At 49.4% G+C, this 14,477-nt stretch overlaps 1 protein-coding gene across 17 annotated transcripts, besides 3 other annotated features; it reads left to right on the forward strand.

The window, feature by feature from the left end:
* Positions 3,434 to 3,483: an enhancer, noted in NCBI's record as "active region_9847". NCBI's record gives its function as "activates an Ori minimal core promoter by ATAC-STARR-seq in GM12878 lymphoblastoid cells {active_cell/tissue: GM12878}" and the evidence as "EXISTENCE:reporter gene assay evidence [ECO:0000049][PMID:35858748]".
* COMMD4 (COMM domain containing 4) lies at positions 3,600 to 10,764 on the forward strand. Of its 17 annotated transcripts, NR_104312.2 has the most exons (9): positions 3,600 to 3,629; positions 5,599 to 5,670; positions 5,892 to 5,957; positions 6,183 to 6,222; positions 6,522 to 6,641; positions 6,801 to 6,881; positions 7,239 to 7,415; positions 7,502 to 7,757; positions 8,366 to 10,764. NR_104312.2 is itself a non-coding variant. In XM_011521739.3 (8 exons), exons 1-8 carry the CDS (start codon positions 3,675 to 3,677, stop codon positions 7,540 to 7,542), a joined length of 690 nt encoding a protein of 229 aa, XP_011520041.1. In that variant the 5' UTR covers positions 3,600 to 3,674; the 3' UTR covers positions 7,543 to 7,810. The 17 variants fall into 17 exon arrangements, 15 of the variants coding, with proteins under 15 accessions (XP_011520041.1, XP_005254566.1, NP_001308773.1 ...); NR_104313.2 differs by lacking the exon at positions 8,366 to 10,764 and having other exon boundaries at positions 6,574 to 6,641; positions 7,502 to 7,810; XM_011521739.3 differs by lacking the exon at positions 8,366 to 10,764 and having other exon boundaries at positions 3,600 to 3,767; positions 7,502 to 7,810.
* Positions 3,824 to 3,993: an enhancer, noted in NCBI's record as "active region_9848". NCBI's record gives its function as "activates an Ori minimal core promoter by ATAC-STARR-seq in GM12878 lymphoblastoid cells {active_cell/tissue: GM12878}" and the evidence as "EXISTENCE:reporter gene assay evidence [ECO:0000049][PMID:35858748]".
* Positions 14,328 to 14,377: an enhancer, noted in NCBI's record as "active region_9849". NCBI's record gives its function as "activates an Ori minimal core promoter by ATAC-STARR-seq in GM12878 lymphoblastoid cells {active_cell/tissue: GM12878}" and the evidence as "EXISTENCE:reporter gene assay evidence [ECO:0000049][PMID:35858748]".

The following is a 14,477-nucleotide window of genomic DNA, read 5'->3' on the forward strand; positions in this document are numbered from 1 at the left end:
ATTTTCTTTCTTTTTTTTTCTTTGAGATAGAGTCTCGGTCTGGCTCTGGCTGGAGTGCAGTGGCACGACCTCAGCTAACTGCAACCTCCATCTCCTAGGTTCAAGCAATTCTTGTGCCTCAGCTTCCTAAGTAGCTGGAACTACAGGTGTGTGCACCCCCTAGCTAATTTTGATTTTTTTTTTTAGTAGAGACGGAGTTTCACCATGTTGGCCAGGCTGGTGTCAAACTTCTGGCCTCACGTGATCCCGCCACTTTGGCCTTCCGAAGTGCTGAGATTACAGGCATGAGCCACCGCACCCAGCCTGAAGAATAATTTTTACAATGTTAAAAGCATGACTTTCATACAAATAATGAAGGAATATGTATAAGATATTTTCTTTAATTCACAAGGGAGTTAGCAACATGGTGAAGCAAGTTCAAGGAGCTTTTTGAGAGACAGTGTCTGTAATGCTCCAGGAAGGGCATTCTGAAATGTATTCTGAGATAGAGACAAAACTTGTTAATATCCTATAGGGAGGTCAGGCATGGTGGCTCACACCTGTAATCCCAGCACTTTGGGAGGTCAAGGCAGGCGGATGACCTGAGGTCAGGAGTTCAAGACCAGCCTGGCCAACATGTTGAAACCCTGTCTCTACTAAAAATACAAAATTAGCCAGGTGCAGTGGTGGTCACCTGTAGTCCCAGCTACTCAGGAGGCTGAGGCAAGAGAATCGCTTGAACCCTGGAGGCGGAGGTTGTAGTGAGCTGAGATTGTGCCACTGCACTCCAGCCTGGGCGGCAGAATTAAATTCCGTCTCAAAAAAAAAAGGGGGGCCGAGCGCAGTGGCTCACGCCTGTAATCCCAGCACTTTGGGAGGCCGAGGCGGGCGGATCACGAGGTCAGGAGATTGAGACCATCCTGGCCAACACGGTGAAACCCCGTCTCTACTAAAAATATAAAAAAATTAGCCCGGCGTGGTGGCGGGCGCCTGTGGTCCCAGCTGCTCGGGAGGCTAAGGCAGGAGAATGGCGTGAACCCAGGAGGTGGAGGTTGCAGTGAGCCAAGATGGCGCCACTGCACTCCAGCCTGGGTGACAGAGCGAGACTCCATTTCAAAAAAAAAAAAGAAAATCATATTGGGAAATAAAACTGCCATCTTTGGGTGTTATCTTTTCCACTGGACAGAAACCCTAAGTTAACATATATACATATTCTCAAGAATATTCATAACATATTCTGTAGTATATTTCCCTACACTAGTGGTTTTCAAAGCATGGTCTCAAATGTCACCTGGGAATATAGACACGCAATGCTCAGGCCCCACCTCAGTCCTATTGAGTTAGAAACTCTGGTGTGAGGCCCAGCAGCCGGTTTCACAAGCCCTGCAGGTGATGATGATGCACTCTAATGTGTGAGAACCACGGCTCTAAATAGTCAAATCATCTTTTTTTTTTTTTTTTTTTTGAGACGGAGTCTCACACTGTTGCCCAAGCTGACTGAAATGCAGCGGTGCAATCTCGGCTCACTGCAGCCTCCACCTCCCGCGTTCAAGCGATTCTCATGCCTCAGCCTCCTGACTGGCTGGGATTACAGGCACCCACTACCACACCCTGCTAATTTTTTTTGTTTTTTTTCAGTAGAGACAGGTTTTGCCATGTTAGCCAGGCCACCGCTCTCGAACTCCTGACCTCAGGTGATCTGCCTGCCTCGGCCTCCCAAAGTGCTAGGATTACAGGCATGAGCCACCGTGCCCAGCCTTTATTTATTTATTTATTTATTTATTTATTTATTTTTATTTTATTTTATTTTTCTGAGATGGTCTCCTTCTGTTGCTCAGGATGGATGGAGTACAGTGGTGCCATCATGGTTCACTGCAGCCTCCACCTCCCAGGCTCAAGAGATCCTCTGACCTCAGCCTCTTAGGTAGCTGGGACAACACGTGTGCACCAGGACAAGCGGGTAATTTTTTGTAGAGACTGGGGTCTCCCTATGTTGCACAAGCTGGTCTAGAACTCCTGGGCTCAAGCGATCCACCGGCCTTGGCCTACCAAAGTGCTATGATTAAAGGTCTTAACATTCTTAAAAAATTTTTTTGACATGGTTTAGGATAGTCTAGTAACTTAACGTACTGTTGTTTTCAACAGGCTAGTGGTTATGATTTGTAAAAGAACTCTTCAGAAATGAGCTCAATTTTACCATGAATTGGGGACACTTTACATTTCTATTTTATAGTGCAGTTTAATTGTCATGGGCTCTGTCTTTTAAAAACCTGAAAGCCTGCAACAATAAAACCAGCTGCACCTGTTGCATGGGATAGGCATGGAATTGAGGAGAGAGCTCAAACTACAGTCAGCCCTCTGTATCCTGAGGTTCTGGATCCTTGGATTTAACCAACTGTGCATCGAAAATATTTGGAAAAAGTAAAACAATAAAAAAACACAGGTCGGGTGCAGTGGCGGGCGCCTGTAGTCCCAGCTACTCGGGAGGCTGAGGCAGGAGAATGGCGTGAACCCGGGTGGCAGAGCTGGCAGCGAGTGGAGATCGCGCCACTGCACTCCAGCCTGGGCAACAGAGCAAGACTCCGTCTCAAAAAAAAAAATTAAAAAACTTTATAACAGCTATTTACAAAGCATTTACGTTGTATTAGGTATTATAGTAATCTAGAGATGATTTAAAGTATACGGAAGGATGTGCACAGGTTATTTGCAAATACTATGCCATATTATATCAGGGACTTGAGTATCTGTGAATTTTGGTATCTCTGGGGTCCTGGAACCAACATCCTGAGGTTACCAAAGGACGACTGTATTCAATTTTGTCTCTGGTTATTAGTCTATTCTCAAATGTATTTTTCTTGTTGTTTTGTCTTTTTGTTTTTGCCTCTTCAAGTCAATGTCGGAAACTTAGTTGTTCTAGACTACCCATTAGCTCAGAGCTACCAGTAATCAGACTACCACTGCAACCTAAGCAACCGATTTTTCTTCCCCATCAGACTGGCAAAAATTAAGATAAGCATCTATTGATGTTGAAGCTGTAGGGAGTTTTCCTGAGCAAGTAATTATGACAGCCCTTTTTGCTAGGCACCTAGATGATTCATCAAAATGAAATAAAATACCCATGCACTTGAAGAAGTTATCTGGTTTATTTCCTTACCTGGGTGCTGGTTATGTGAGGTGTACAGTTGATGAAAACTTATTAAGCTTTATAATAGGTACAATTTTCTGTATGTGTAGTAGACGTCAATAGTTTTTAAAATGTCTTTTGCCACAGCCCGCAGCTGTGAATAATGCTATTCGCTTAACAGTGGAAAACGTGTCAATGACCTGAAACACCCTGGCTCCCGGGATCCTACCCCCTTAAGTTAAACAAATGAAATAACTTCCACTGTCTTTCCTAATGTCTTAATTCGGTCCTCAGTTAAACTGGCGGTTGGCGCCAGTTTTTTCCAGGGAAGGATTCTGGGAGACGGAGGAGGAGACGCCAGCATTTCGCCCCCTGCACCTCCAGCGGGCTGCGGTCCGCTCCCGGCCTCACTCGAGCAGGCCCCGCCCTCCCAGAGGCAGTTAGTCCAAGTCACGTGATCGTCGACTCAGCTGACCCTGCGGGACCGGAAAAAGAAATTCCCGGGCCCTGGCTTCTTGGCGCGATGGTGAGGCACTAGGGGCGAAGCGAGGCTTGGGCTGCTGGAGCGGGAATGAGGGGGCGCCAAGTGGCTCCGGAAACTGGGGGAGGTTGTACTGGCCTCTCCGCAAACACAGTGTGTGCGGGCGTGAGGGCTGTGAGTCTGGTAGGGAAAAGTCCACCACTCTCCCGCTCCCGAGACGGGGGCGGGGGTACGGGGCGGGTAAGACAGAGCAGGCCGGCCGGCTTAGAGTCCCGGTGCTTCCCTGGCGGAAGGAAGGGCCCCTGCCTCCCGGGGCAGGAACTAGGGCTTGTCTGGAGCTGGGAGTCCTTTCAGGTCTTCCCCATCCCCAAGAGGACCTCCCAAGGATACCCCCTTCCCCAGCCCTGCCGTGGGGCTTGTACAAGAAGGTGCTTAGAATCAGGCTCACTCTTCCACACTGTTAGGAAGCCCCTCCGCTCTTTCCAGAGCCAGAAAGTAGTAGTTTTGGGGTTGAGACTTATCCATCCATCCATCCAATCCATCCATCCGTACGTTCTAAGCGCCTGGTCTATACCATGAAGTGTGCTAGGCACTGGGAGGACTTGAGCTGCCAAGGGAAGGGGAAATCGGAGGCTTGAATTGGAGTCATAGCTAAGGCTCCAGGGGCAGAGACCTAACTGCGCCTTGTGTGTAGTGCTAAGGGGGCTTCCTAAGGATGCCATCAAACTTAAAGGCGGATGGATGGCAGGAGCTGGCTGGCTGAAGTACAGTTTGTGTACCAGGGGTAGGGAGGCAAGGGTGGGAGACGTGTGTCTTCAGACAGGGAACAGCATGTGCAGAGACTTCAGGTTAGAGAGAGTATGGCTCCCCAGGAATGGATGCATTTCCCATAGCTGGGAGAGTATCATCTGCAGGTTAGGGAAAGATGAGGCTGGACAAGTAGAGAACAAATCTTCCTGGCTCTTGGATCACCACAATCAAGATAATGAACGTATCCACTGGCCTCCATAATTTCCTTGTGTGAGGGGCTATTTTAAGAAGTATAATCAAGAAAGGCTGTTCTGGCTGGGTGCGGTGGCTCATGCCTGTAATCCTAGCACTTTGGGAGAGTGAAGAGGGTGGATCACCTGAGGTCAGGAGTTCGAGACCAGCATGGCCATGGCACTCCAGCCTGGGCAACAGAGGGAGACTCTGTCTTATTTTTTTATTTTTTAAAAAAAGAAGGGCTGGTCTGATGTGTCACTTAAAGGATAGCAAGCCACTGGCCAGGCGCCGTGGCTCACGCCTGTAATCCCAGCACTTTGGGAGGCTGAGGGGGACGGATCACTTGAGGTCAGGAGTTCAAGACCAGCCTGGCTAACATAGTGAAACTCTGTCTCTACTAAAAATACAAAATTAGCCGAGTGTGGTGGCACATGCCTGTAATCCCAGCTACTTGGGAGGCTGAGGCAGGAGAATCACTTGAACCTGGGAAGCGGAGGTTGCAGTGAGCCGAGGTCGCGCCATTGCACTCCAGCCTGGGGAACAAGAGTGAAACTGTCTCAAAAAAAAAAAAAAAAGGATAGCAAGCCACACAGAGAGTGCAGCAGGCATGGAGGCGGGAGCAAGGCTGGTGTGCCCCAGCAGCAGCAGGGAAGCTGGAGTGGCTGGAGTTGTGTGGGTATGGGGAAGAGGGGAGAGAGTTCACTCGTCTCTGTGAGGCCCAGGACTTTGTTTTATCCCATGCTGTACCCCCAGCACTTAGAGTGGGAGCTAGCACAGAGAAGGTGCTTAATTGATGTTTGCTGAGCAGATGAATGCCTGGAGTAGACCTCAGAGCAGGGTTTGGTGGCAGGGTGGGTCAGGGAGAGAGTTTACTCAACAGCCTGGTGATAGGGGAGAACAAGAGGCCAGAGGGTATCCATCTATGTCGGGGACCAGGGGTCCCTGGTGGGCAGCAGTGTGGGAGACACACGGATCCTGGCCACACCTCAGGCCTCCCTCCAGCCTGATTACCTGCCTCCCTCCCTTGCAGAGGTTCCGGTTCTGTGGTGATCTGGACTGTCCCGACTGGGTCCTGGCAGAAATCAGCACGCTGGCCAAGATGGTTGAGTGCACAGGGTCTAGTCTGGGTGGAGGAGGGGTGTTGGGGGTGGGGATTGTGGGTGTAGAGGATGGTGAGGTTTCTCTGGGGCTAGGGCCTCAGTGCTCTCAGCCTGTGCTACCATGCTTTGTGACCTTGATCAGTGGCTGGCCTGCTCTGAGCCAGTCCCCAGGAAGGAGGGGTGAGGTTTGCCAGCCTGGCTGATGTAAGGACTTCCCTTCCAGTCCTCTGTGAAGTTGCGGCTGCTCTGCAGCCAGGTACTAAAGGAGCTGCTGGGACAGGGGATTGATGTGAGTACAAGATCCAGCACCCCATTGTCCCATGACCTTATGACCACCACTGCCCTGAAACTCTGCACTAGGCCCAGGGAGACGGGTGAGCCAGCCTCTCAACCTCTCTGGGCACCTCCCTTCCTTCTTTCCAGCCTGTCTGTTCCTTATCGCAGGATCCAGGCTGGGGGTGAGGGGCTGGTGAGCAGGGGCCTGGCACCCCCTGAAGGTCTCCTTTCCCCATAGTATGAGAAGATCCTGAAGCTCACGGCTGACGCCAAGTTTGGTGAGTATCCCGCTGAGTCTATAGGCCCCAGGCAACCCTGGGAACTTGGCCTGGTGCCTGGTACAGAGGGGCCCCCCACCCCTCCCAGCAGCATCCTTAACTTACCTTCCCTAGTGGAGGAGCATGAGGGAAAGAAAGACCGACAGTCCCACCTTCCTGTCCTCTGCCAGCTCCTGGTGGAGCAGTAGCAGTGCCTGTGGCTCCAGGAGGCCTGGGGGCTTTGAGCTAAAGTTAATAGGGCAACAGGGAGGTGGCTGGACCCACAGTGACACCCCCTGCCCCACCCACGGGTCCCTCAGAGTCAGGCGATGTGAAGGCCACAGTGGCAGTGCTGAGTTTCATCCTCTCCAGTGCGGCCAAGCACAGTGTCGATGGCGAATCCTTGTCCAGTGAACTGCAGCAGCTGGGGCTGCCCAAAGGTACGGGTTGTGGGTGGGCAGCTGGGCAGCCTGTGGGCCAAGGGCTGCTAGAGAAGGGGACAGGCCCTGTGACCCTGAGGTGTACCTGCCCTGTCTGGGCCAGGAGCCCAAGCCAGGCCCCGACATGCTACCTCCAGAGCTACTCCATTCTACCCCCAGAGCACGCGGCCAGCCTGTGCCGCTGTTATGAGGAGAAGCAAAGCCCCTTGCAGAAGCACTTGCGGGTCTGCAGCCTACGCAGTAAGTATGAGGCCAGCCAGGGTCCGGGCTCATTCTAGAAGGTGCACGCAGCACACAAAGTGCATGGAGAGTCCAGGGAGACGACTTAACCACGGTCACATGGTTACTAGCAGCCGTAGAGCTGGGACCTGGCCCTGGGTCTCCTGACTCCCCACAAGGTTTCTTGTCACTGAGGTCTGCTGTGGGTGATCAGAACTGATTATCGGGCACCTGCCCTGTTCTGAGCCTGGGTCAGCAGGATGGGAGCTTCTTAGAGGCCACATAGCCTTGAATGGTTGAGAGCTGAGCCAGGGTGTCGGCTGAGGTCTACTTGGCTTGCCTGCTTTGATCCTGAGAGCCACCCACCCCATCTCACAGTGAATAGGTTGGCAGGTGTGGGCTGGCGGGTGGACTACACCCTGAGCTCCAGCCTGCTGCAATCCGTGGAAGAGCCCATGGTGCACCTGCGGCTGGAGGTGGCAGCTGCCCCAGGGACCCCAGCCCAGCCTGTTGCCATGTCCCTCTCAGCAGACAAGTTCCAGGTCCTCCTGGCAGGTGAGGCTCAGCTATTCCTCGACGGGTGAGAGGCTCTCCCAGATCCGCCTGACTGCCTCCCACCTGCCCACCTCTTCCCTCTGCAGAACTGAAGCAGGCCCAGACCCTGATGAGCTCCCTGGGCTGAGGAGAAGGGTGTTCCAGGCCTGTGTGGAGCCGCCCTGCCCGTATGGAGTCACGCCCTCTGAACTGCTCTTCGGGAGGCAGCCCTGGTTCTAGGATGCTGAGGCCCTGGCCCGGACTCTGGCCTCCCAGATCCCCAGCTGCCTCACTTCTCTCTTGAGAACTTGGCTCAGGGCTCCTGAGGACCTTTCCCAGCATTACCTTCCCTTCCCTTGAAAGGCAATTGTTGGCTGTTTTCATAAGCAGGAAAAATAAACAGAAGTATAAAGGAATGTGTGCAGGGGGTTCTGTTTGGGTTCAGATCAAGGGTTTTTGTGAGAGAAACACAAGTGACATACAGGCCTTCTTGGTCCATCACTCATTTTCTTTTCTCAATTGCTGATTGAGGGAGGTCATAGGTAAGGCCAACTGAGGACCAAAATGCATCTGCTTGTCTGGTGAGAAGAAAATCAGGGTTCTAGCTCCCAGATCTGGGATGCTCTTGGCTCTGCTGTCTTTGCCCCCTGGCCATGTCCTCAGGCTAGCAGCACGTTGGTGGCCCCAAAGCCAAATGCCCCTTGTACAGAAAGGAGATTGCCCTTGTTTCACTGCCATCTTCTATTTATTTATTTATTTATTTAGAGACGGAGTTTCGCTCCTCTTGCCCAGGTTTCACTGCCATCTTGTTATTTATTTATTTTGAGATGGTACAGTGGCGTGATCTTGGCTCACCACAACCTCTGCCTCCTGGGTTCAAGCAATTCTTCTGCCTCAGCTGCCCGAGTAGGTGGGATTACAGGCATGCCCCACTACTCCCGGCTAATTTTGTTTTTTTTTTTTTTTTTCAGTAGAGATGAGGTTTCTCCATGTTGGTCAGGCTGGTCTCGAACTCCTGACCTCAGGTGATCCACCCACCTTGCCCTCCCAAAGTGCTGGGATTACAGGCGTAAGCCACTGCGCCCAGCCACTGCCATCATCTTTAGGAAGAGAGAAGTGACCATGCCTGAACCAGTCATTGGCAAGAGGAACGGTGTTATGGACTGAATGTTCATGTTCCTCCAGAATTCATATGCTGAAGCCTCTGTCCACACATGCACACCAGATGAGGGCCATGTGCGCACACGAGGTGGCTGTCTACAAGGCCAGAAAGAGGGCTGTCAACAGGAACTGCGTCTGCTGGCACCTTGATCTTGAACTTCCCAGCCTCCAGAACTGTGAGAAAGAAATCTCTATGGTGTAAGCCACTAGTCTGTGGCATTGTTATAGCAGCTCGAGAAGACTAAGGCAGATGGGCTTCCAGGACTGGCCCAGACCAGCCAGGGCTCCTTGTAGAAAAGGCTGATGCCAGGGTTGGCACATGGAGGGTACAAGGAGGACTCGCCTGGAGTATCTTAAGGAACCTATCGAAGAATAATGGCTTGTTCCACTGGCCAAAGATGGGACAATTTGAACATCAAAAGAGATACTTACTGACTCCACTCCTGACTTCTGCTTCTGAAAAAATGAAGTAGGTGTTTTCCCTATTCCTCCCACTAAGTACAGTTAACAACCCTGGATGTTACATATAAAACAAACAAAAAGACTCCGAGCGATGGAGAGAAGGCACCCTAGCCTGGCTGGGATCCTCAGGACCTGAGGCTCCACAGAGAGAAATTCCTGGAATCTGGACCCCATGGCCCAGTCAGGTTACACAAAACTGATCATCACAGATCTGTAGAACTATACAAAAGTGCTAACATTCATGATTAGGGTCTCAGAAGGTAAGGAGGAAGAGAGTGGAATGGAAAAAGTATTCAAAAAAATAATCACTAAAGGCCAGGTGCAGTGGCCCATGCCTGTAATCCCAGCACTTTGGGAGGTGGGACAATTGCTTTAGACCTTGCAACTGGCCTGAGCAACACAGGGAGACTCAGTTTCTCCAAAAAAATAAAAAATTAGCCGATCATGGTGGTGCGTGCTTATAGTCTCAGCTACTCAGAAGGCTGAGGCAGGAGGATCAATCGCTTGAGCCCAGGGGTTTGAGGCTGCAGTGAGCTGTGATCATACCTCTGCACTCCAGCCTGGATAACAGAGCTGAGACCCTGTCTCAAAAAAAAAAAAAAAAAAAAAAAAAAAATGTATATATACACACATTGGAATATTTTTCAGCCCTTAAAAAGCAGAAGGTTCTGTCATTTGTGACTTGGATGAACCTAGACGACATGATGCTAAGTGAAATAAGCCAGGCACAGAGAGACAAATACCTCGTCACCTCACTTATGCCTGGAGTTGAAAAAAGGGCCTGGGGCAGTGGCTCACGCCTGTAATCCCAGCACTTTGGGAAGCCAAGGTGGGAGGATCACTTAAGCCCAGGAGTTCGAGACCAGGCTGGGCAACATGGCAAACCTGTCTCTACAAAAAGTAAAAAAATTAGCCGGGTGCAGTGGCACATGCCTGTGGTTCCAGCACTTGGGAGGTTGAGGTGGGAGGATTGCTTGAGCCAGGGCGGTCAAGGCTGCAGTGAACCATGATAGTGCCCCTGCACTCCAGCCTGGGTGACAGTGAGACCCTGTCTCAAAAAAAAAAAGTTAAATTCATAGAAGTCGACAGTAGAATGGTGGTTAGCAGAGGCTGGAGGAGAGAGAGGGTGGGTTGTGGGGAAAAGGGGAGACACCGGTCAAAAGGTACAAAGTTCCAGTTAGGAGGAGTACATTCTGGTGATTTATTGCCCAGCGTGGTGACCAGTTAATAATGATGTATACTTCAAAATAGCTAAAAGAGGGTTTTAAATGTTCTCATCACAAAGAAATAAATATTTGAGGTAATGGATATCCTAATTAGCCTGATTTGATCTTTTTTTGTGTTTTTTGTTTTCTTGAGACAGAGTCTCACTCTGTTGCCTAGGCTGGAGTGCAGTGGCGTGATCTTGGCTCACTGCAACCTCCGCCTCCCGAGTTCAAGTGATTCTCCTGCCTCAGCCTCTGTAGTAGCTGGGACTACAGGCATGCACCACCACCCCTGGCTAATTTTTTGTATTTTTTGTAGAGACTGGGTTTCACTATGTTGGCCAGGCTGGTTTTAAACTTCTGACCTCAGGTGATCCGTCTGCCTCGGCCTCCCACAGTGCTGGGATTACAGGCATGAGCCACCGTGCCCAGCCGATTTGATCATTCCACAATATATGCATGTAACAAAACATCACACTGTACTCCATAAATTTATACAATTATTATTTGTCAATTAAAAATAAAACTATAGATAAGTCAAACTGGTATTCTAAAAAATGCTCCACCAGCCACAGTTGGGCAAGAAGAAGCAAAAATGAAAACTGGGAATAAACAAAGTGATAAAAAAATCACAAGGAGACTATCCTTGGCAACATGGCAAAACCCCATCTCTACAAAAAAATACAAAAATTAGGTGTGGTGGTATGCACCATTGTCCCAGCTACTCAGGAGGCTGACGTTGGAGGATCACCTGAGCTCAGGAGTTCGAGGTTGCAGTGAACCATGATCATACCACTGCACTCCAGCCTTGAGTGACAGAGTGAGATCCTGTCTCAAAAAAAATAAAAAAGAGGTTATCCTGTCTTTTTAGTCAGGATAACCAAATAGCCCTGGTCAATGAGGTAAAGCTATACTTGACAGATGGATTCTATCAAATATATTAAGAATGACAATTAGAAAATCACTTTGAGGCTGGACACGGTGGCTCACGCCTGTAATCCCAATACTCTGGGAGGCCAAGGCAGGTGGATCGCTTGAGGTCAGGAGTTTGAGACTAGTCTTGGCAACGTGGTAAAACCCTGTCTCTACTAAAAATACAAAAAATTAGGCATGGTGGCCCCCACCTGTAATCCCAGCTACTGGGAGGTCGAGGCTGCAGTGAGCCGAGATTGCACCATCGTTCTCTAGCCTGGGCAACAGAGTGAGACCTGTCTCAAAAACAACAATAAAAACCTAAAACTTTATTTTCTTTTGAGACAGGATCTCAAAGCGAACTTTCGTATTTTTAGTAAAGACGGGGTTTCACCATGTTGGCCAGGCTGGTCTTGAACTCCTGGCCTCAAGTGATTCACTCCCCCCTCGGCCTCCCATAGTGTTGGGATTTCAGGCATCAGCCACTGCGCCTGGCCAAAAACCCAAAACTTTATATTCATTGAATAGCAACTACCCATTTCCTCCTTCCCGGCAGCTCCTGGCAACCACCATTCTACTTGCTGCTTCTGTGTGTTTAACTGTTTAGGTACCTGATATAAGTGGAACCATGAAGTATTTGTCTTTCTGGGGTTTTTTTGCTTGTTTGTTTTATGAGACAGAGTCTCGCTCTGTTGCCAGGCTGGAGTGCAGTGGCACGATCTCAGCTCACTGCAACCTCTGCCTCCTGGGTGCAAGCAATTCTCCTGCCTCAGCCTCCCAAGTAGCTGGGACTACAGGTGCCCGCCACCACACCTGGATAATTTTTGTATTTTTATTAGAGACGGGGTTTCACCATGTTGGCCAGGATGATCTCGATCTCCTGACCTCGTGATCCACCCGCCTTGGCCTCCCAAAGTGTCGGGATTATAAGCGTGAGCCACTGTGTCCAGCCTAAGTATTTGTCCTTCTGTGACCAACTTATTTAGTGCAATGTCTTCGAGGTTACCCATGTTGTTGCATGTGGCAGTATTTCCTTTTTTTAAAGGCTGAATAATATTCCATCATATACCACATTTTTTTTAGGGGGGCAGGGATGGGGATAAGGTTTCACTCTGTCATCCAGGCTAGAGTGCAGCAGCATGATCACAGTTCACTGTAGCCTCTGACTCCCAGGCTCAAGCAGTCCTCCAACCACAGCCTCTGGAGTAGCTGGGACTACAGATGCATACCACTATGCTAATTCTTTTCTTATATAGAGATGGAATCTCCCTATGTTGACCAGGCTGGTCTTGAACTCGTGGGCTCAAGCAGTCCTCCTGTCTTGGCCTCCCAAAGGGCTGAGATTACATGCATGAGCCACCATGCCCAGCCTATTATATATCACATTTTAAAAAATCCATGTATCGGTTGGTTGTTTCCACATCTTGGGAATAATGCTTCAATGTGTGTTATCTCTTCATTGGGGTGGCAGTTACATGACTATGTGTTTGTCAAATATTGCAGTCTGAAAGGGGTAAATTTTACTATATGTAAATTATACCTTTATTTAAACAAGAGAACAACAAAGAAATTACTCCATAGATTATTTGGTGTTCACAAGGTATGAACCATATGTTTTCTAATGCAGAGGTCTGGCTGCCACAGCCCCTGTCTTGATCAGTTTCAGCTCCCAATAAAGTGGGACAATGAGATATTGGGTGCCTCCTGATATGATGCAATTCAAAGTACAGAGCAGTGGCCAGGCGTAGTGGCTTATCCCTGTAATCCCAGCACTTTGGGAGGCCGAGGCAGGCAGATCACCTGAGGTCAGGAGTTTGAGACCAGCCTGGCCAACATGGTGAAACCCCGTCTCTACTAAAAATACAAAAATCAGCTGGGAGTGGTGGCATATGCCTGTAGTCTCAGCTACTCAGGAGGCTGAGGCAAGAGAATCACTTGAACCTGGGAGGCAGAGGTTGCAGTGAGCCAAGATCGTGCCACTGCACTCCAGTCTGGGTGACAGAGCAAGACTCCATCTCAAATAAAACAAAACAAAACAAAAAACAACGAAGTACAGAGCAGCACCTAGGAAGTATCCCTGAATATTTATATAATCAAGCCTTTAGATCTAATTCCCAGCATGCAGGATGAACCACAGATAGAGGACCAATCTCTGTGACAATATCAGTGACACCCTGAGGATACATTCAGACAAATTGAGAATGTGATGCAGCATCTATCTCAAACAACAACTGGCTGAGACTCTTCAGAAAGGTATCATGAAGATAAAAGAAGGGGATGAAGTGGGTGGGAGAGGGAAGGTGGTTTCATCTAGATTTAAAATTATTAAAAAGATATAATCCAGCCAGGCGCGGTGGCTCACGCCTGTAATCCCAACACTTTGGGACCCCGAGGTCGGGGGATGGCTTGAGCCCAGGAGTTTGAGGCTGGCCCAGGCAACATAGTGAGACCACATCCTTACAAAACATGAATTAGCCAGGCGTGGTGGTGTGTGCCTGTAGTCCCAGCTACTTGGGAGGCTGAGGCTGAGGATCACTTGAGCCCGGGAGGTCGGAGGCTGCAATGACCCATGATTGTAGCCTGGGGGACAGAGTGAGACCCTGTCTATATGTGTATATATATATATATTTGGGACAATTGGGGAAATCTGGATGTGGACTAGCTATTAGATGATATTAAGAAGTTACTGTTGGCTGGGCATGGTGGCTCACTTCTGTAATCCCAGCACTTTGGGAGGCCGAGGCGGGCAGATTACTTGAGGTCAGGAGTTCAAGACCAGCCTGGCCAACAAGGCGAAACCTCATCTCTACTAAAAATATGAAAATTAGCCAGGCATGTGGCACACGCCTGTAATCCCAGTTACTCGGGAGGCTGAGGCAGGAGAATCACTTGAACCCGGGAAGTGGAGGCTGCAGTGAGCCGAGATTTCACCACCGCACTCCAGCCTGGGTGACACAGTGAGACCCTGTCTCAAAAAAAGAAGTTACTGTTAACTAATTTCTAATAACTTAGATATTATTAGATATTGTCAACTAATATCAAGTTGTTAATTCTATTCATTTATTATGGCAGAAGTATTTTAAAGTAAATTAGACAAATCATGACATTTCATACCCAATACTTTAACATGCATCTCTAAAAACCAATTTCTTACAAAGCCACATAATTTTATTACGCCTAATAAGGAGACGTAGCAGGGTAGTGTGAAGGAGGGGAAATCGTGGCGATGGGTTAGGTATACACTTAGAATGAAGTGCAGACTCCACACGGAGGCCCTCCCGAGGCCCAACCGGACCTGACCTGGGTTTGCTTCTCTGTCTTCACCTGCCAGCACTAACCCGCA

Source organism: Homo sapiens, chromosome 15 (assembly GCF_000001405.40).
Source record: "Homo sapiens chromosome 15, GRCh38.p14 Primary Assembly".
NCBI lineage: Eukaryota > Metazoa > Chordata > Mammalia > Primates > Hominidae > Homo > Homo sapiens.